We start from the raw sequence: 21,281 nt of genomic DNA, 5'->3' as shown, positions 1-21,281 counted from the left end.
TTCTTGGGGGTCCGTGACACATTTGTGTCAGCTGTGGCCAGTGTGTCAGGCGCCTGCAAGACATGGCTAAGGGAGAAGGCCTGGATTTACCATGCACCAGCCATGGCACCAAGAACTTGGTAGTTGCCATTTCATTTGATGCTCCCAGCCATTCTATGACTCTTATTATGTCCAAATGGGGAAACTGGAGCACAGAGGGGTTAAGTAACCTGCCCCAGCTTGCCAAGCCAGTCAAGAGCAGATCTGGGTTTCAAGCCACCGCGTTGCCCCCTGTGCTGTCCTGGGTTGGCTGACGTCCCTAGGGGCCTGCTTTGGGCATCTGGTTTTGTGGCAGTACCTGGGTCCCACTAAGCCTAGTACCTCTCTGGCTGCTACCTCTCACCCATGGACAGAGAAAGTCAACCCATCCTGACTGTTAGGAAGAGGGAGGGTTAGGCGAGGGGGGTGTGCTGGAGCGTGGCACCCCGGAGGCCACTGGGCTTGCCCTGAGGCAGGCGTTCAGCAAGACTTCAGTGCAGGCAACAGCTGAGCCCCTGGCCCGACCCACAGAGAAGAGTGTGGGCCGCTCACTCAGGAATGCTTCTGATGAGTGGCAGGCCTCTCGAAATAGGTAGAGGGAAGGGTGTCCAAGGTGACCTGGGGCCATTTCTGAAAGTGGCCCCCTGCCTACCTCTTCTATTTCAGGCCCACTGCGGGAGGGTGATAGTAGAGGCCAGACCATTCCCTCTGGAGCCCACCAGGAGACTTGGAGGAGGGGGGCAGGGAGCACCCAGCCAGGCAGTCAGCAGCAGATGTCATCTCTGGCCTGCATCCTCTCGTGTGGCCTGTGTCCCCACCTTGCCCTCTCCTGGCAGTGAGGCATGGCCAGCACCAGGCTCAGAGCTCCTGGTCCCCCAGGAGGCCCTCCTGCTGCCCCTGACTTAACCATCATCTCAGGAACTGCTCTGCATTTAACCCTTTCCTCACTGCCTGCAGCCCCCCAACCCAGCTCCAAGTTCAAGTTTACAGCTTGCAGCACTGTGACACTTAGAGCCCTCTCCCGAATTCTGTTGAATTTCTGTTCTCTGAAGGCTGACTTCTCAGGCTCAGGTGGCTGGGCTAGTCATAAAACCCGAGAGGGAGGGGGCCTGCCAAAGGGGCAGGAAACCCCGAAGTATGGGCCCTCCTTGGCATTAGCTCAGCTCAGCCTGTACCAACCCCATTTCCTGGATGAAGACCCCAGAAGTAGGCAGAGGTTAGCAATCTTGTCCAGGGTCATGAGACAAGATGTGGAGTTGATATTGGAATCCAAATCCCTTTCTACCTCCCTTGGAGCTCAGCTTAACAGCACCCCGGAACCCATACCCATAATCCTTCAGGTGGCTCCTTCAGGATGGTCGTCCCATTTCTGAAGCCCTAATGATGACAGGGGCTCACTACCACAAAGGGAAGCCCGTTTATGGTGGGACGGGTCCAGCTGTGTCTCTGTGTAGCAAAGTGTGGCTGTGGTGGAGACTTTGGGCTCACCTGCTCCTGGGCCAGGAGGAGGGGGGCGTGATGAGGGTGAAGAATCAAAGGGAAGCTCAATAATAAGGACCCTCGGACTGGACGAAGTTCTCTGTTGTGGGACAGTGGCTGGGAGGACAGTGCCTGCCATCTTGGGGACCCTTTACTCCCAGAGCAGTGCCTTCTGGTGAATCCCATGCCTGAAGTATTATTAATCTGCTCTGGCAGCCACAGCAAAGCACCACAGACCCAGGGGCTTGTTCAACAGAAATGAATTTTCTCATAGTTCTGGAGGCTACAAGTCTGAGATCCAGATTTCAGCAGGGTTGGTTTCTCCTGAGACCTCTCTCCTTGGCTTGGAGATGCTGTTTTCTCCCTGTATCTTCACATCATCTTCCCCCTGCTTGTATTCTTACCCTCATCTCTTCTTATAAAGACACCAGACGTATTGGAGTAGTGCTCACCCTAATGATCTCTTTTCACCTTAATTGCCTCTTTAAAGGCTGTATCTCCAAATACAGTGGCATACTGAGCTGCTGGGGGTTAGGGTTGCAAAACAGGAATCTGAATGGGGGAACAGTTCAGCTCGTCACACCTGAGAAGGAGTTTTCTGGGTCACATGTATTTGGATGCCCCAGGCCTTTGATCCTGAGTGGGAGGAAGGAAAGGTCAAGGACAGGTGGTGGGGAGAGGTCTGGTTCCCTCCTTGCGGGCACCTCTGCCTCTCTCCAGTTAGATCTGGAGCCTGCCGGCTCAGTGCTCTGGCTAACACCAGTTTTGCAGCCTCCAGAAACCCCATTAGCAACTTGGCCTGAGTTCTGATGCCCCGTGCCCAGATTCCAGGTCCCCATGGGTAGGGGTGGCGCTGTGTTTTTGCCTCTGCTGTATAAAGCAGGCTCCAAATTCCTCCATAGTGTTCCGGGGCAAGCCTTCTCGGAAGCAAGCCTTGAACCAAGGGATATGGACTGCCCTCTGCCTCTGAGAAGCCTGCAGGCTGACCAGGCCTGGGTTCCTGCCTGCCTTCTCATCCACCCCCCACCTTTCTGTGACTTCCTTGGACATCAGTTGTTTAGAGTTTCTCTTGACTCAACAGAGAGGATGGGAACAGGGGTTGGGCAAGTGAGGGGTGCTCTCAGAAAGTAGATTTCTCAGGGATAAAGGACAGGGTGACTCAGGGGAATGACAAACCTCCCAGCCTGGCTGACAAGGGTGAGGGGCTGGTGTCCACCCCACTTCTGCATCTCTCCTGGTTGGCGCCCATCAGTCTTTCCCTTGTTTCCATGGACAATCCCACCAGAACCGGGGGCTGGTGACAGGGGGCCTTGGTTTTGTGCCCAAGCTTCTCAGCCCTCAGGGGAGATCTTCTAGTTCTAAAGGGTGCCCATCCACTCCCCAAGTGCTTTTGTCTGGGTAGGGGAGGAGCCTCTGCCTGGAGCCAGGAATCCCTGTTCTGTGATGACTTCTTATGAGCTGGGCTTATCCAAGGACTCTGTGATACTTTTTTTTTGAAAGAGGAAAGAGGGAGGGAAAGAGATACAGCAAACAGGCAGAGACCAAGAAGGAGAAAGAAATAAATAGATGAGAGACATGGAGAGATAGACAGGCATGGATAGATATTGGCCTGGGAGGCAGAAGATTTGGGTTCTGGGTGTCTCTGGTAACTCTTTTTCCATAGGTCCTTTTTATTTCTTATGAAATGTGAGGGCTGGAGTAGATAGTATTTCTTTCCATTTCTTTGAGCTCAAGCATTGTGTCTTTTCATGACTTGTGAAGACCTAAAAGGGGCCTGCCAGGCTTCCCTCTCAGACTTTCGCAACCCATGGGCTTAGAGCAGGAAGGAGCATGGCTTAGTGGTTCTATCAGTCAGGAGAGGCTCAATTATGCCACAGTGACAAATGATCCCACCTTCTCAGTGGGCCTGACCCAACAAAAGCATATTTCTGCTCATACTACATATCCACTGGGGGTCAGAAAGGTCTCTGTTCATCACAGATACTCTAGGCTGAGGGCAGCTTCATCTTGTAGGTGCTTCCTTCACTGCTGCAGCTGTGGGAAGAAGACACCATGGCTTGCACACTGCTCCTGCCTAGAACTCACATGTTTTCCTTCCGCTCATGTTTAATTGGCCAAAACAAGCCAAACACCCATGCCTAGCTTCAAAGGGGGCAAGGAAGTTGTGCATAGAGGATGAGAAGCTGGAAATAAGGTTGAACAGACCAATCTCTAGGAATTAAGGCTATGGGACCTAGAACCAGAAGATCTGGTTCTAAGCTCTATTGTTTATAGGTGTGTTTCTTGGCCAAGTAACTTTGCCTTTCTGAGATCCAAATGTCTTAATTGTAAAATGGGTTCAATAACAGTACTTTCATTATAGCATTATTGTCTGATATACAATGAGGTAATATACATGAAATGTGAAAAGCAGAGTGGCGCATGCCATGCTGGCAGTGATTTGTGTCTGTTATTATTATTATTGAAGTGCTGGAGGAGAGAAGATACAGACATGATTTTAGCCCTCTCTTCTTTAGAAAAAGCCGCGTTCCCCTTGCCCCTCTACTCTCTGGGAACCATCTATAGCTGGCTCTGTTCTGGGAACCCCACTCTTGGGAGTCAGGAGACATGCCTCTGACATCAACTTGCTATGTGACCTTGGAAAAATTACTTCCCCTCTCTGGTTCTCAGTTTCATTATCAGCAAATTGAGGATAATGGATTTCAAAAAGGGCTTCCAGCTCCAAAGCCCTAACAATGTTGAGGATGCTGATGCTGATGATGACCTTGAGATGAGAGCACTGTGTACTTTCTGGGTGCCAGGCACCACTGACTGTATGTTCTCTTGGTTAATCCTCCCCAAACACCTGTAGGTGGGTGCTGTTTTGTACTTACTGGGCTGAACAAGCAGAATTTGTAGGATGTGATTAAAAAGCTACTTGTTTTGTATACTACTGCCCTTTAAGTCTACCCTGTTTCCCCTTCCCCCAAATGACACTGGGGCAAGTTCCATCCCTTTTCTAGCCACTCTCAGGTAATACAAGGTCTTTTGGTGGGTAATAAATAAATACGCCCAGTGCTGGTGAACTTGCTCCTCCCCCTTGTCAGCTCCTACCTGGCTGCTAGCTGTGTGTGTGTGTGTGTGTGTGTGTGTGTGTTGGTTGGGGGGCGGGGGTGGTGGTGGTGGTGGGGAGGCTCAGTAAGTCTTCTTTCTGTTTTCCTGACTTACATATTTAGGGTTAGGAAGGGAAGAAAGGGGGAACATTCCAGAACATTCTTTCTTGCCTGGTGGGGTTGCACAGGCATTCTCTGTGTGGAGACAGAGACACAAATGATATCTCTTGGGTTCTTTGCCAGTGGAAGATTCTGGAGGCATTGAATGCCCTCTGGCTTCTCTCCTGAGGCACTTCTGTAGGTATTTGGGAGACCCTGTCCAACTGCCCAAAAGTCTTTCATTCGCTGTTCCCTTTGGGTGGCGAACATGGTTCTGTTCAGATGCTCAGGACCCCCTTCCTCAGCCCAGTCATCCTTCGCTCCCTCCAGCCTCCTCCTGCTGAAATCTCTCACCCCTGCAGGTGGCCCTCATGGACAGCATTTGAGGCAGCCCAGGGGCTGGCTCTCTCTCACCTTGGTCCAAAGTAAAAAGTCAGCACTCCTGGCCCCCGCAAAGACCCGGGTTGAGGTGGCCAGTGCGCCCCCACCCCTGTTCCCACAGCACAGTTAGGCCCCTGTCTTTCACATCCTCCATGCGCCCGCAGGTACCTGCTGAGTCTCTGAGCAGACTCACTGAGATGAGGGAGAAGCCTCTAGAAAGGTGGGACCTGCCACCAAACACCGTGCTCTCCACAATTCCTCTTACAATCTTCCACTTTCTAATCTTTTTACACCTTTGATATGTATGTGTGTGCATGGTGTGTATGGCGGTATAGTTTGGAGCCACAAAGCAGTTTTCAGCCATCACTCTCTTTTTAAAAACTTAATAGCTGTATAGATATAATTTAATACCACAACTTCACCTCTTTAAAGTATACAATTCAATGGGTTTTAGTATATTTAGGCTTGTACAACCATCACCGTAATCTCATTTTAGAACAGTTTTATCACCCCCACCCAAAGAAATCTTATAACTAGCAGCAGCCACTCCCACTTCTGCCACCAACTCCCAACCCTAATCTACTTTCTGTCTCTGTAGATTTGTCTATTCTGGACACTTTACGTAAATGGAGTGATACAATATGTGGTCTTTTGTGTCTGGTTTCTTTTACTTGACCCAATGTTTCATTCACGTTGTAACATGTATCAGTATTTTATTCATTTTTGTTGCTGAATGATATTCTATTGTAGGCCATACCATATTTTGTTTATCCATACATCACCATCAATTGATGAACATTTGCATTGTTTCAACTTTTTGGCTTGTGTGAAGAATGCTGCTGTCAACATGTATGTGCAAGTTTTTGTGTGGACTTAGGTTGTCATTGCTCTTGGGTAGATAGCCAGGAGTGGAACTGCTGGATCACCTGTGTCATCATTTGAGGAACAGCCAGAGTGTTTCCCAAAGTGGCTACACCATTTGGCGTTCCTACCAGCAATGTATGAGACTTCCTCCGCATCCTCACCCACATTTATTTTCTATCTTTTGGATGCTAGCCATCCTAGTGGGTGTGAAAGGGTATTGCATTGTGGTTTCAATTTGCATTTTCCTAAGAATTGATGATGTTGAACATCTTTTCATGTGTTAATTGGCCATTATGGATCTTCTTTAGAAAACTGCCCATCCACATCCTCTGTTTCCTTTTTAAATTTTTGTTTTGTCTTTTCATTATTGAGTTGTAAGCATTCATTTTATATTCTGGCAACAGGTCCCTTAGCAGATATATAATTTGCCGATATATTCTCCCATTCTGTGAGTGGTCTTTTCACTTCTTGATGTCAGTCATCTCTTCTGCAAGGCCTGCATGGTGGTCTTCTGCCTTACTTTTGAAATGTGTCATTCCTTGTCCTCAGGCCTCTTTTACAACTGAGACCCAAGTACTTTCACGTTAACATCTGGTCACAAATAGTGTTCCCATTTGATAGATGAGGAAACTGAGGCAAGTAACAGAGAAGTTAAGGACTTCGTCCAACGAAGTCTTCTGGATAAATGGTGAAGGCAGGATTCCAACGTGGTGGGTCTGCAACCAGTCAGGGATTTGCACTGCTACTTAACATTTTATGATCTTCATCTGTAGCCCAAAATGCTTTAGGCTGTATGGCCTGATCTCTTTCCAGCTTTAGAAGAGGTGCCTGGATTAGCCTGGAAAGGTTGCTCACAGAGAGGGAGGCCGAGTTTCAGATCCCTGGATGGTAGAACAGGAAAAAGCCCATGAGTTCTGCCTTCCAGCCAGCCCCGGGCCTGTGTAGCCCTGTCTCCCTTCATCTCCTGGGGCCCAGGCCGGATGGGAGAGTGGTGAGAAGGTGTCCTCCAGGTTTGAGAGTGAGAGATTTCAGCAGTGGGGAGCAGAGTCCCAGTGCTCACTCTGGGTGGGGCTGTGGGAGAGAACTCGTGTGCACCACGCTGTTTGCCCTTGATGTATTTTCTCAGGTTCTGACATTCTTGCCTTCTGAACTTTTGAGTAAGACGTGGGAGAAACCAGCAAGAGAGGGGAGTACAGGATTGCAGGTGGTCCCAGATAACTCAGGGAAATAGTCCAAGGTTCCTGGGGAGTGATACATGTGCCCCTTGTATCTAAGCAGAGGGCTTCAGGGGTGAGTTTCTACATGTGGGTGCTGAGAGCCTGAGATTCGACCCTGAACTGATTTTTGTTGGGAAATGGTCACCTGGCCTCCAGAGGGGATAGCCCTTCTGGCCTGTGACTTCAAGGTGGTGGGGGCAGTAGCAGGGGAGGGAGGAATTCAAAGCTGCTACTGAAAGCTTCTGACCTTGATCTATCACATCATATAGGACAAAGGGCTGAGATACTAGCAGGAGAGGTTTGGGTTAGCCTCCTGGTAGAACTTCCCAACTGTGAGAGGGTGAATCAGCTGTGACAGGCAGATTGGTCCTCTTGTCCTCTTGGCCCCCTTGGGCAGTGATGTTGAGGGACAAGAGGGGTGGATCTTAGTGTGTGCTGGTCTGCATAGAGGCCAAGATAGAGGCCTGGATGAGACAGCTCCTTAAGGAGGATTCTCGGTTCTTTTGCCTCCCCCAAGAGGGGAGTCCTCTCCTGACTCACTGGCACAATTAGTCTTGAGAATTCAAATACAAGGCAAGCCTGACCTTGCGGGTAAAAAGATGACACCACTGACCCAGTATCTGCCAGCCACCTGCTTGCACTGTTCTCTGTCGAGCAGCGCTGGGTTTGTCTCAATGCCCTCGGACCCTTAGCTGGCCCTGCTCTGCGAGGCAGCTGGCATGCTTGGGCAGCAGCCTCTGCCCATGGAACACACGGTAAACCAATACCCTCCCGAGTGAATGTGCCTTTGGTGCTCTGTAATCTCTGCCATCGGGTGCAGGCTGGAAGGCCGGAGCCACGCTCAGAGCCAGCCGGAGCTCTGGGCACAGTCTGCTCTCTTGTGCTCAAATATCCAGATCGAGGCAGGGGTCAGGGGAGTGTGTACTCTTTCCCCCTCAGCCTCCCTCCCTGTTTCCTCTCCTGCCAGACCTGTAGACAAGTGCAAGCTATCCGGACCCATCAAGACCCCAAGATACCGACTCTAATTATATCCAATAAAAGGAATTTAAGCTTCTATCAATCAAATACTTTTTCTTACTCACCTAAAGCTGCTTTGCACCCATCATTACCTTCCTCTCTTCTTCCTTTCCTTCCTTCCTTTCTGTTTCCAGTTACTTAACTGATCCCCTGCTAGGTGGTGGGCACTGTGTAAGCCCTGGGGATATAGAAAGCTGTGCCCTGGGGTTGTCTGGAGACGGGGTAGGGGTGTCAGCCCAGTGCTGTATCCACTCTGCCCTGCAGCCCGTGGGTAAGGGGCTCGGGCAAGTGCCCTGTCTTCTGGGGATGATTATGATCAGAGGGGCTGGCTTTGCAGAGGGTCTGCATTTGAAGGGCCCCTGGGAGGATAAATGGCATTGAAGGCAGAATTGTTTTTCAGATTAAAAAGTGGCATAACAACGTTGTTCAAAGTCTGGAAAGTAAAAGGAACGAGAAACAATCAAATCTGACTGGCTTCCTCACACAATTGCTCTGGTCACTGCGGTGGGGTGGGTGGGACCTTAGCGGGATGTTGGAGGTGGTGGAGGTGAGCTGAGGGCCAGGGCACCCTTGCAGGAGGCCAGGGAGGTGAGAACAGTTGCAGTGTGGGGCCAAGGGAGGGGCTGGTGTTCCCCGGGGGTCCCTGCTGCTCCCAGGAGCTGAGCTGAGCTGGCCCAGAAGCCCTCACCAGAGTCCTGGGGCTCCATTCCCCCGTCTGCTATTGAAGGGGTTCAGGGGCCTCTTTTCTCCTTTGTTTTGCTTTCAGTTTTTCAAAGCAACCTTTACAAAATAAAGCACACCAAACCCGCAGTAGATGCGTCCACAGAGCCTGCATTTCTTGCCCTGGTGGACTTGGCTGGCTGAGGGCTGCCTTTCCTCACCTCCTCCCCATGTGGCCGCCTGGGGAGACTCCATCAGGCCACTCAGAGTCCCACGCAGGTGGGGGTGGGTTGATGCCACCCCTGGCTCTGATGGGTGTGTGGCTCCTACAGTGGGCCTTCTTGCCTTCAGGCTCCAGCCCTCCAGCTTCCCCATTCAGCTCACAGCAGCATCTAACCCTCCGTGGTGAAGGTCCTCTTTCTGGACTATTCCAAATGATTCCTTGCTGGATCTATTGAGGCCTTGGGCGCTCCTCCCTGCCTTTTCAGAGGCTGATTTGCTTTGGCAAAGTTGAGCTTCTTCACTCATTGTCCTCGCCTGGCTTTGGGGCCAATCTCTCCATCAGCCTCGGAGAGGCGGCATCCTCCCTGGAGCCTGCCTGCATCTACCCACTCCCTCCCCTGCCTGCTACCTGGCACCCTGTCTTCCTGCAGCAGAGGCCCTCCCTCTTGGTCCACTCTCTGAGTCCCTGCTTTCTGTCTGATGGACAGTTCTGAGGCTGTTTATGGGAAAAGGCTTCAAGGGATCTGGGGTCTGGCAAATGATCAGTCCCTTTTCCTTTGATAACCCTCCCTCTACTTCCTCAGCTGCTCATGGATGATTCATCCCCTATAAATCTCCTTTCTTCTCTATGTCCCTCTCCCTGACACAAGACCTTCTAAAATCCTACCAGAGTCACTGAGCTCACATAGCTTCAGTAATCGGCTGCCTCCATTAAAATTAAGGACAGTGTCTTAGAGTAGGCTGGGAAGGGGTGGAACCCACGTCCTTGGGAGGTGATAGTCTTTAGATGGGAAGATCCTTGGGAGGCCCCGTGCTGATTGGGAGCATGGCCTTGGGACTCAGGCTGTCTGGGCTTGAGCCCTAGCTTTGCCTCTTGCCTTTTGTTGACCTTGGACAAATCATTTAGCTTTTCTGGGCCTCAGTGTTCTCACCTGTAAAGTGGGGAGAAGGCTAGTACCTGTCTTATAGCATTGAGAATTAAAAGTAATCATCTATGGGCACCTAGCTCAGCGACTGTTATACAGGAAGTCATTACTAAGCATTAACTTTTGCTAATACCACTACCTGACCTTGGGTAGCACTTTATAAAATGCTTCCCCGAGTTCACCTTCAACCATCCCAGTTCTTGAGCTGGACTTTGAACCAAGGCCTCTGGCTGCAAGTCCAGTGTTCTTCCCACTATGCAGAACTAGGTGTCTGTGAATCTTTTCCCCATCATCATCTAAATGCCAGGCTCCATCCCCAGGTGTGACCCACTTCCTCTGCTCAGGGGTCCTGCCTCCTTGGCACTGGTCGTCAGTAACCACCAGGCTGCAGGCTATGGCCTCCTCCCTTTGAGAAAACACATCAGCATGCAAGAGGGTGGGAATGACATAAGGATAGGCCTAACCTTAAGTCCATGCAATTGAAGAAGATGAAGAGAAGGAAAAACCCCACATCATCTACATTCTTTAGTACATAAGCTGTCCTCAGTCACATTCGCTTCTTCATTCAATAGGTCTTTACTGAGTGCTTACTCTGTACCGGCCACTCACTGTTCTAGATGCTGGGGACAGAACAATGAATGAAACAAAGATCCCTGCCATGCGGCGGTTCCATTCTAGTGGAGGCAGACAATAACACATTTAAAAACAACCATAATAAATAACTGACAGAGCCTGTTAGAACTTGAGAAATACCCTGGCAAAAAATGGAGCAGAGTAAGGGTGATTGGGAATGGGGGCATTGAAGAGTTGACATTTTTAAAAAGGGGAGTTGGTCAGTCCCGGCCCTCTGAGGAGGAACACTTGAGCCAAGACTTGAAAGAGGCACAGAAGCTGGCCAGACAAATATCTGGAGAAGAGCATTCCAGGCAGAGGTAACAGCAGGTGCAAAGGCCCTGAGGCAGGGGCCCACCTGAGATGTTTGGGAAGCCGGGAAGAGGACAGTGTGACTGAATGGAGGTTGTGTTGGGAGATAAGGTAACAGGGAGTAGATCACCTGGGGTCTGGTAGCCATAGTAAGGATTTGGCTTTGGCCTCAGCCTCTTTATAGAATGATACATTGTAAAGATCTTTCTGTAATGGCAGGTAAAGAGTCTTCTCATTTTGTTCAGCTGCATACTATTCCACTGTATGTGTGCACTATGTTTTAATAACTAGGTTTTTAAAAACTGCCTTTAAATCATAGAAACATTTAAGCTGTTTCCAATCTTTTGCTGTTTCCAAAAAAATGCTGCAGTGAATGGCGTTGCACATATACCATTTTCATTTGGGTAAGTCTATCTATAGGACAAATTTCTGGAAGTGGAATTGCTGGGTAGAAGAATATATGAAGAGATAATTTTTATAGACAGGGCCAGATTGGCCTTCATAAGGACTGTATTAATTGATGCTCCCAGACAGTGATTTGGCTAGGGATGAGGAGGAGAATCTATCCGCCCACCTCCTTTAATATGCACCCCCCAATATGTGAGATACTGTTAGGTACCCATAATTTCTTGTACTCCTCATGACTCTCCTGTGACCTGAGTTCTCTTGTTCCTATTTCACAGATGAAGAAACAAGCACAGAGAGGTTAAGTAACTTACTGATGCTTACACAGCCAGGTAGGGGTAGAGCTTGGATTCTGACACCCACCATTTCTCAGCATAACATTTCTCACCATTTCTGACAAGGGTAGGAGTCCTGAGGAGCCCTGCCCTGCTGCCCCATGCAGTTGGGGTTTGAGAACCTAGGGAATAGGAACTGAGTTAAAGTGGGAAGCCTGCCTGTCCAGCTCTGCCCAATGCTGTGCCTGTGTCCTGGAGACCCTTGCAGGCCAGTGATGGGGGAGGGGAGAGGCCAGCCCAAGGGATCTGGAGCCACAGTGGCTGAACTGGCCAGCCCCAGCCTTCTCCCTGTCCCCTCCCTCTGCCAGCCCCAGTGGAGAGGCCTGAGAGGCTGCGGACTAGCTAATTCTGCTCTGGTTGAGGAGCTGCCTGCCGCTGTCTGCCGGGTCAGCTTGCTCCAGGGATTAAGTTTCAGCATTTCACTGATGAAAATAAATCAGCCTCTTGATTGCCCTGCATGGCCCTGGGAACCTCTGCAGCCTGGTGTGTGTTTACAGACTTCCTGTAAGTCCCCTTTTCTGTCCTAGCCTCAGGGACTCCATGGCTGCTGCAGAAATAGCCTCAGACAAGTTTGGAGCCTGAAGCCACCCGGGCAGGTCCAAGCAGGAGAGGAGATACAGGCCTGCCAAGTCCAGGGGCTCTGGGATCCAAACAGTGCCTGGTAGAGCATCTTCTCTGAGTTGTATCCTTGAGGATCCAGATCCAAACAGGACTTTAGGGATCACCTATACTTGCCCTCTGCCATTGCACAGTGGAGTAAACTGAGGCCTGTCCAAAATCACCCCTTAGAATTCTGGCTCTTTGGCTCCTAGTCTGCTGCTGCAGCCAGGCAGCATTTTCTTTAGGTCTGTTTGTTACACCGTGGCTGGTTAGAGATCTAGGGGCAGAGTTGGAGAGGTGAGTTTTAGCTGCTGCTGGAAGGATGGAGGTCTGACATTCAGGAGAACCCTCTTGCCTTTGGGGGATCTGAGTAACAGGAACAGGTGCCAGGACTAGATTTTCTAGATTTTCTGAAAGTTGAGGAGAAGAACCTTTCCACTCCACGCATCTGTCTAGGTAGGATGAGTGACCATGGCTTGTGGACATGGGAAAACAAGGCAACTTCTAGAGGGTTCTGACAAGGTCCTAGCTCATTCTTGTGCAAAGGGGACTCAGGAGTCTCACCCCAAAGTCCCTTTTCTCCTGCCCCTCTTTCTTTGCTCAAGCATTATTTACACTCACAAGACTATCCCTCAGGGACCTGGGGTGTCCTGCCTCAGACACTCCTGGCTCCAGAATACTGGACCTCAGTTGTTCAATCCCTGGGCCATTTATCTCCCTGTGCCCTGGGAAGCAGCAACAGAGCTGTTGATGGATGTGGGGAGCTTCAGACTGCCCAATCTTTACATCTTTACAGCCAGTCGATGCCCTGGCTGCTTATCTGGGACTTATGCCTTTGATTGCTTAAAAAAATTGTTAGCAGCAAAGTGTTCTTTGATGTGTGTTCTTCTCCTTCTCCAGGGGCAGTGAGATCAGATTTTGATATGAAAGCTCAAAGCTTCTCAGCTCTCTCCTTCTTCCCTGCCTTCCTCTCTCTGTCTGCACATTGCTTGAGAACCTTCGAGAAGCAGATGGGCGCTCCTCATGTGATGCAAAGGCAGAAAGGCCCAAGGGTGGTGCCCTGGCTTCTGTCTGCCATGCAGGCCTGTGCTTCATGGTTTGGTGGCCTCTGCATAAGTGAGTCACTTTCAGCCTAGCCCTAGATGGGCTTATTTGGGGAAGGAAGCAGATACCCACCCAGATCCTCCACCCACCTCTGCACCTACTCATGCATGTAACCACATGGACTCCTGTACTCATAGCCACCTCTCATGCATGGAGCCACAGGGACCCCTTGACTCATAGTCACCTCTCACACATGGAACCACATGGACCCCTCTGCTCACAACCACCTCTCATGCATGGAACCACATGGATCCCTCTAGTCATAGCCACCTCTCATGCATGGAAGCACATGGACCCCTGTAGTCATAGCCACCTCTCATGCATGGAACCACATGGGCTCCTCTGCACACACCCACCTCTCTGCATGGAACCACATGGATCTCTGCCCCACTGCGTACCCCAACTCTGCCCCACTGCGTACAGTATTGGGAGCTGTAATTATAAAACTGCCCAGCCAGTTTGATAACCCAACTTATATGTGGATGCTGAGAGAATGGGCCTGTTTGGGATCAGGAATAGTGATTGACCTCACTTGCAGAGATGGTTTCATTCGTGTGAATTATAAACCAGCCCTGAGGCAGTGTTCTACTTGTTTCCAGAAATGCTTTGAGCTCTGGTAGCATTGTGAGGATAAATGCATAAAATTCCCAGGGAACCAGTTTGATGGGGACAGTGCTCACTTGCCTGCTGGAGTTTGTTATAAACCAGCATTGTGACTTTATTGTCACTCTCCACTCCTTTTTTCTTGTTGGATCTTCTAAGATCTAAACCTTTGCCTCCTCCATCTCCTTTCTTGTTTCTCCTTCCTTTCTGGGAAGCAGAAAGAGCATGAATGTCAGAGTCAGACTGGCAATGTAATCCTGAGCAAGCTCCAACCCCTGAGCCTTAGTTTCTTTATCAGGAAGATGGCATAACAATATCCACTTTGAAAGGCAGTTGTGGAACCAAGCAAGGGAACTTCCATTAACGTGCAGGCACATACTCAATAACATGCCTGCCTCATTCCATTCTACCCTCTCCTTCGCCCTTGCTCCCAAAGCCCCATATACCCTCTCCCCATTCAGTGAGGACTGCCACTGACATGGTGTCCACGTCCTGGGAGCAGTAAGGGTGGGGAGAAGCAGAAGCGCGGTGAGTGGATATGTCCCGACCCTCATCCAACACAAACATCTGCCTGGGAGTTGACAATTCCCTTCCTGAGTAATCCTCTGGCACTAGGGCTCCTGTCCTGTTCTTAGGGAACATGCTCCTGGGCCTGGCCCTGCCCACTGCCTTCCTGGGATGGGAAGTGTGAAGACCCTGGAAGGCTGAGGCCCTGCCAGGGGTGCCTGAAGCTTGTCCTGCTCCGATGGCCCTGTCTTCCCTGTCCACTGGGCTGGGAGGCAGGGAGGAGGTCCTGGGGAGGTCTAAGGACATGTTTTCATCACATATGCAGCTGCTGTGCCCACCCCAGGCAGCGGGCCCTTCCTCCCTCTATCCCCAGACGTTTGAACCTTGACACCATGCCTATCTTGGGAGACCCCTTCCTTCTCCTGTCCTGACTGCTCCCTCCAGCCATGTCTTTCTCTTCCTTGATGGCTGTCCATAGAACCAGAAGTTTTAGAGTTCAAAGCTTATCTCCTCCCACTCATTTTACCACGTTGGAAACTGAGTCCCAGGAAAAGGAAATCACTTGCCCAAGTTTAAGCAGTGAAGTAGTGGCCCAGATGGGGTTGAAACCCAAGACTCTTGAGTCTTAGTTCGGAGATCGGTCTATTACACCCCAGGCTCCTTCATCCCTCAGTCTAGCTCAGGGCCTCTCACCTGTGGTACTATTGGCATTTGGGACCAATACAATTGCTTGGGACCACCACAACAATTGCTTGTTGTGGGGGTCTGTCCTGTGTATTGTAGGATGTTTAGCAGCATCTTTGGCCTGTACCCACTAGACACCAGTAGTATTTCCTCCAGGTGTGATAACCCCAAATATCTGCAGTATTGTCACACATTCCCTGGGGGGCCCTGGCTACCTGGGGGTGCTCCTCTTTCCTCTAACCTCTCATCTTTGTGATCTCACCTGTCCCACCTGCAGGGTGTGAAGTAGTCTTTCACTGGAGACACTCTGTTCTGTTTCCTCCTTCTGTTCTGGGACCCGGCTGCTTGGAAACCAAAGCACTCAGCCATTCTGTTCTTTACGAGGAAGAACAAAGAGCCAGGCCAGGAATGTTGCTTTATACCTACGAATGAAAAGAAAGAACTTGACAGGAAGGGACTAAGCCTTGGAGGGGGTGACCAGGGAGGCTGGGCCCCCTTCCTCCCTGGAGAGACCCCTCAGTGTGGGTGAGGGGCCCTGGCCACCTGGCTCCAGCTGTAGGTCTGCTGGCTGGAAGGATGGTCTGGAGGGAATGGGGGCATTTGCTTGACCTACAGTTGGGAAGTGTGTCTTCATTGTAGAATTGTCCACCAATATCCTACTTTCCTCGCACAGCTAGACCTGCAGACATTTGTGGTTCTTCTGTAATGAGAGTTCACAGTCTCTGAGCACCCATCTCATGGCATCTGACTGAGATCTGGCAGTGGGGAGGACTCCCTCTGAGAGCCAGGGGCCCTGGTGGCAATCTCACTCCAGCACTGACCATGTGTGACAGTGGGAAACTCTTCCCTTCGCTGACTTGGACAGATGAAATCGGGTGGGTGGGTTGGGCCCAATGAACTCACAACATCCTCTGGCTTGACCATGCGGGGATTCTAGGAAATTGCCTGGGCTGACTGCCCACAGTGCGGTGCCATGTGGCAAATCTGGGGTCTTGAAGAATCCTTGGCACCTGAGAAGTTTCCAGAAGGTATCCAGACCCACCCTCCTACCTCTAGAACTTGTGTTTTATGAAACTGCCCTGCTCAGGGCCACCTCAGGGGGTACAGGGGATACTGGGCTGCCTCTGAAGACAGAGTAATACCATCATCTTTCAAGCTTAGTTTAACCCACCCACTATTGGGAAAGACTTTTCTCCTGCTATTTCCTGTAGTTTGTTTTAAGAAAAAAAATTGTCTTTTTTTTTCCCCCAAATAGAAACATGGTAAGACGAAGTGTATTCTTTTTTGAACCAGATTTGCCATGCCCTGCCCTCTGCCCAAGCCCCCAGGAAGTCCTTTCCTATTTATGCATGCAGCTGAGGTTGTGCCCGTCCTTCTCTCCTTGTGGTCCTTGAGGCTGAATTCATCTCTGCAGGTGGAAGTGGCAATGCATTTTCAGGCACACCATTGGCAGTAATCAGTGTTGGGATAGGCTCAGTATTTGTTAATGGAATGGCATCACATCCTTGTAGTCTGCACCATTTTGGAAGCCTCTTCTCTATGCTGGCCATTCCAGGCCATGATTTTTGAGCAGAGATCGGGTGGGCCAAATTGTATGTCCTGAAGCTTAAGCACTGGGTGTGATACATATGGGCTGGTGAGATAGGGTCACAGAGGTACTGCTCAGGGGGCACAGGGCTAGGGAAGGGAGACGGGGAAGCCCACGCTGCACTACTCGTGTTCTGTCCTTTGGAGCACTTCTGTGTTCTGTACACTGTGCTGAGAGCTTTTCATGTGTTATATCAGTCTTTGCACTACTTACTGAGATACAATGACTAGTATACCCATTTTACAGATAAGGAAACTGAAGCTCAGCCAAGTAATTGGCTCAGGGTTGCCTTAAGCTAGTAGTTGGTAGTATCTGTATTCAAACCAATGTCTGACTTCCAAGTCCATGTTCTTAACCTGGCAGATGCTGAAGTGATGAGAATGAGAAGGGCCAGGCATAATCTTAGGCTGCATTAACAAAAGCATGGTTTCCAGAAAATGGGAGGTGACAGGCCTGTTGTGCCTCTTTTAAGTCAGAGCGCCCACATGGGCTGTTTGTGGGTCCCTTGCTTCAAAGTGATAAAGAACGACTGGAAGCAAGTGCAGAGAAGCAACCAGAAAGTATGTCAGGCTCAGGGACTTGCAGGGAGAGGGGTTGCCTGTCAAAGGGGAGATTCAGGAGGGCAGGCACGTCTCATTCAGTATCTGAAGGGCTCTAGCGAGGGGGCGATTGGCTTGTTCTGACCCACTCCATCGGGCACTGTAAGGCCAGTTAGTGGAAAAGAGGGCTCCAGGGTGTTTTTTCCTATGTTGAGCTAAAATCCACTGTTACGGCCCCCTAAAGATGAGCTGGGCTTTTGGAGGAAGACAGTAAAATCCCTGTACCTGGAAGAATTTGAGTACAGCTAGGAACAGTTTTTGCCAAACCTGACTCTCTTATTATTTGCAGCTGGGGAGCATTTTCAAATTCAAAGTCCCAGGCCCCATTCCAGACAGTTTTGCCTCTGTGTGGAGCCAGGGGATCGGGGTTCTTATAAAACTCCCTGGGGGCTTTCTAGTATAGCTAGTCCCCCTGGATGATAGTGGAGAACCATCAGATGGGGTTGCCACTGGCAGGAACTATTGTGTGGTAGTGTTTTCCAAAGTAAGGTTCAGGTTCCAAAGTATGGTCAGACTGCTAATTATATATGAACTGATATTAGGTATATTTATTTTGATGTGTATTGGAAAAAAAGGTATGTATTTTGCACATTCAATCTGGGACATCATGGATATTGTGCTTAGAACTAGTTTAAGTTAAATGAAGTTTATTTTTATAACTTACAAAATAATAATGTAGATGATATTCAGATGGACAAATAAACATGAAGGTTGCGTGCAAACAAAATCTCTGCTAATACTGTTGTGGGTTGGTTGGGGTGGGGACAAGTGGGTGAACTGGGGTGCCTTAAACCTTTCAAGAGCCCGAGGTTTGTTGGTTAGTTCTAGAAGACTCTATGGAGGTAGGAGGATAATTGCAATAGTTTGTCCAAACTGTGGTCTTCCCCAGGTGGAGCCTGAGGCATAGAACCCCTCTGCTTCCCCTCCCCTGGTCTCCTTATTTTTAGTGGTCTCTTTGAAGTCTGTGACACCGAGCTGTCCCATTTTATCTCATCAGTGAAGATAGGTCAGTGGCCAGGGTACAGGGCACTGGGTACCATTTTTGTTCTTCCCCTTATTTTCTTTCTTTACCCTCAAAGAACAGCAGCCAGAGAGGGGTGCTGAAAATGGCGAGGGGCTGAGGGCTCAGGTGTCTGAGGGGAAACACAGGGAGTAGTTGGGCTGTGCCTGGCAGGGCTTTCCCTCCCAATCTCGCTGTACCAAACTTAGCTGGGAAGGTCTGGGCACGAGGATGGGGTAGCCATAGCTCAGGGCAAGCCTGTGTCTGTGGAAGCATTTTGGGGTTGCAAACTAACTGGGGCCCTCTGCATGGAGACACCAGTCGCTGAAGCTCCCACTGGCCTGGCCGCAAAGCCCAGATCACCTCCTGTCCACTCTGAGAATTGGGTTGGGAGATTCAATTGATATGCAAATAAGTCACAAACAACATGTTAATAAGAGTGGGGATTTGGTGTCTTATTATCAGTTAGGGACTCCTGGCACTTTCCAGGGCACATCAGGATAATGGTGGGAACTTGAGGGCCGTTCACCTGCCTTTCAGCTGCATGGCTCTCGGATCTGGGTGGTTGGGAACGAGGGTGAGGCATTGCGAACTCTGAAAAGTGATACTCTGCTATTCATGATTTCCACAGATGGGAACAAACAGAATACCAATAGCCAGTCAATTGGAAGCATCTCAGGTGGCCTGGAGGATCAATATACCTGGCCAGACACACACTGGCCTTCCCAAAGTTAGGCCCTCCAAAATGTCAAGTTGCCAAGCCAGAATCCAAAGCTTTGCACTGAGAACTTCATGTTGGGGCTCCTGTCCCCTCCTGGAGCCCTGCCTGGGTGACACCCCAGTCCTTCTATTCAGGTCCTGTGTTCACCTCTGGGAAGTGCAGGACCCTGTGGGGTTTTTTCTTTTTCCTTTTCCAAGCCAAGGAAGTGTTCTGGCTCCTGGACTCTGCCCTGTGGAGGGGAAAGGGGGAGAGAGAGGGAAAAAAAGATTTCCACCTTATTGTTCAGCAGCTGGAAAATTGTTGTCATCTGTTCTGCCTTCCATTTGCTGAGAATGGAAAAAAAATGTGGAAAATTTGGGGAAATAAATCTCAATACCCTCATAGGACCTCTCTCCCCTCCCTCTCTGGCCCTTGCATCCCTGCCTTTCCGCTTGGGGCTCAGTTTCACTTTGCTCCCAGATTCTCTCCCTGCTTCTCTTCAGGGCACTGGGGCTGCCATGGGTTTGGGACTGGGGCTGGGCTGGGCTACACTGGGACTGGGCTGGGCTGGACTGGGACCCGGTGGGGCTGGGCTGGGCTGTGCTGGGACCAGGCTGGGCTAGACTGTGCTGGGTGAGAGTTGAGCAGGGGCTGGGGCTGGGGCTGGGGCTGGGCTGGGGTTGGGGCTGGAGTTGGACTGGGCTGGCCACTTTTCCTGACTCCCGGCCGGTGGGAGTGAAGGGCTTGGGAAGCCACCGTGATGTCATTCAAGAACGGCATAGCTGCAGGATGATAAGTGAAGCCCTGGGGACCCAGCTGGCTGAAATTACAGACAGTTTTATCCCACTGGCTTCCTACAAGCCAGAGTGAGGCAGAGCAAGCTGAGCTGGGGAGAGAGCGTGCAGGAGAGTGGAGGGAGGGAGGGAGTGGGGTGTGTGTGTGTGTGTGTGTGTGTGTGTGTACATGGGCAGGCAGGCGGCACTGGCTCCTCCCACCCCTGACAGTCGGAGGGAGCTTGAGTAGGACACAGACAGCACTTGGAGCTGCAGCCATGTAGGAATTATTGGGAACTTGGGGCACCAGGATCAAATCAGAGCGGGCTTCCCTCCGCTTCCTCCCTCTCCCTCCCTCCCTCCAGAGGGTAAGTGTCTGCTGGGCAGTTGTTTTGCCTGTGAGTGTTCTTGTGTGGCTTTCTGCTGGATCTGGGCTGGGGTGCTCGTGCTTCTGTGCTGGGAGGGTGTGGAGGGGCAGGCTCTGTCACGACCCCACCTTGGAAGGGCTTGTGGCTGAGTGGGGCTGTGGCCCGCTGTGCTGCTGTCTGATGTGGATGTGACGGGCCTGGTGGTCCCCTTCCTGGACTTGCTTCTGGGACACGTAAGAGCCATAGCTTTCAGGGCGAGGGTATCTGGGTTGGTGGGGGGGCCGTGTGTCTGAGTTGTCCTAAGTCTTGTGGGGGTAACGGTTCGTCTTGTGCGCGAATGGGGTTGGCAGAGGGAATGAGGTGGATGCATGGATAGCTCTGGTGAGATGTTATTCAGGACGCCCCCTCCCTGCATCTTTGGCCTGAGCTTTGGGGCACCTCCAGTGCTCACCATTCCCCACCGGCCTCCTGTGGGCTCCCATTCACGGCTTTCTCCTGACTTTGGCAGAGATTTTGGCAGCTTGACTCTCCTCTAGCCAGGGATCTCTGAGTGCCCAGGCTGGCACCCTGGCCTGGCAGAGAAGGACTTCAGCTTGTTGTGGGCTCTGGAGCTATTTTTACCATCCTGAGTGTGCCTGTGATATCTGCTGCCCGTATAGGCTGAGGGTAGGGGTGGGAGTGCCAGGCTCGGGTTATAGCTTCAGGCTGGGGGGAACACAGGCCAGGCCGGAGTCAGGAGGCTGGGTCTGAGAATTCACATTTGCCCTGCAGGCGTGGGCCATCCAGGGCAGGGCAGATCACTTGCCCTCCAGGCCCCTGGTCTCTCGGGACTGAAGTCAAGGTCACGATCAGGTTTTCTGCTCCTACTCCCTTTTTATGGAGGGCATGGTATGAATTCAAGTAAGAAGATACCTGGGACAATTGCCACGGGTCCTTCCTAAGGAGGGTCCGGGGACACATTTATCATCATCGCTTGACAGAAGCACCATATATTATGTTGTCCTGTGGTTCTGGGTCCACAGACATAGTTGGAGAGTCCACCTTCCAATGCCTCCAGCCCCAGCCATCTTCACCTTGAAGCAGCATTAGGGACAAGAGCACTGAATAGGGAGCCAG

The 21,281-nt window shown here is 50.8% G+C and overlaps 1 protein-coding gene across 25 annotated transcripts in view, besides 2 other annotated features; it reads left to right on the top strand.

Annotated features, from left to right (window-relative positions):
• The window catches only part of TNS1 (tensin 1), a 234,192-nt gene that overhangs the window by 155,326 nt on the left and 57,585 nt on the right, over positions 1-21,281 (top strand). For 7 of the 25 annotated variants that reach the window (XM_047445637.1, XM_047445638.1, XM_047445636.1 and 4 more), the window contains one exon: positions 13,140-13,355. The exons of 14 other annotated variants lie outside the window; for them this stretch is intronic. In XM_047445637.1, the coding sequence (XP_047301593.1) occupies positions 13,140-13,355 (216 nt within the window). Of the gene's footprint in view, positions 1-13,139; positions 13,356-20,023; positions 20,166-21,281 lie in introns of those variants that run through there. 4 more of the 25 variants (NM_001438868.1, XM_047445648.1, XM_047445649.1 and 1 more) reach the window with 1 other exon arrangement.
• Positions 5,130-5,631: an enhancer, noted in NCBI's record as "H3K4me1 hESC enhancer chr2:218737749-218738250 (GRCh37/hg19 assembly coordinates)". NCBI's record gives its function as "activates a minimal SCP1, AML or CMV promoter by ChIP-STARR-seq in primed H9 embryonic stem cells {active_cell/tissue: H9 hESC(primed)}" and the evidence as "EXISTENCE:reporter gene assay evidence [ECO:0000049][PMID:30033119]".
• Positions 13,265-13,324: an enhancer, noted in NCBI's record as "active region_17110". NCBI's record gives its function as "activates an Ori minimal core promoter by ATAC-STARR-seq in GM12878 lymphoblastoid cells {active_cell/tissue: GM12878}" and the evidence as "EXISTENCE:reporter gene assay evidence [ECO:0000049][PMID:35858748]".

Source organism: Homo sapiens, chromosome 2 (genome assembly GCF_000001405.40).
Source record: "Homo sapiens chromosome 2, GRCh38.p14 Primary Assembly".
Lineage (NCBI taxonomy): Eukaryota > Metazoa > Chordata > Mammalia > Primates > Hominidae > Homo > Homo sapiens.
This window is presented reverse-complemented; position numbering and strand designations above follow the sequence as displayed.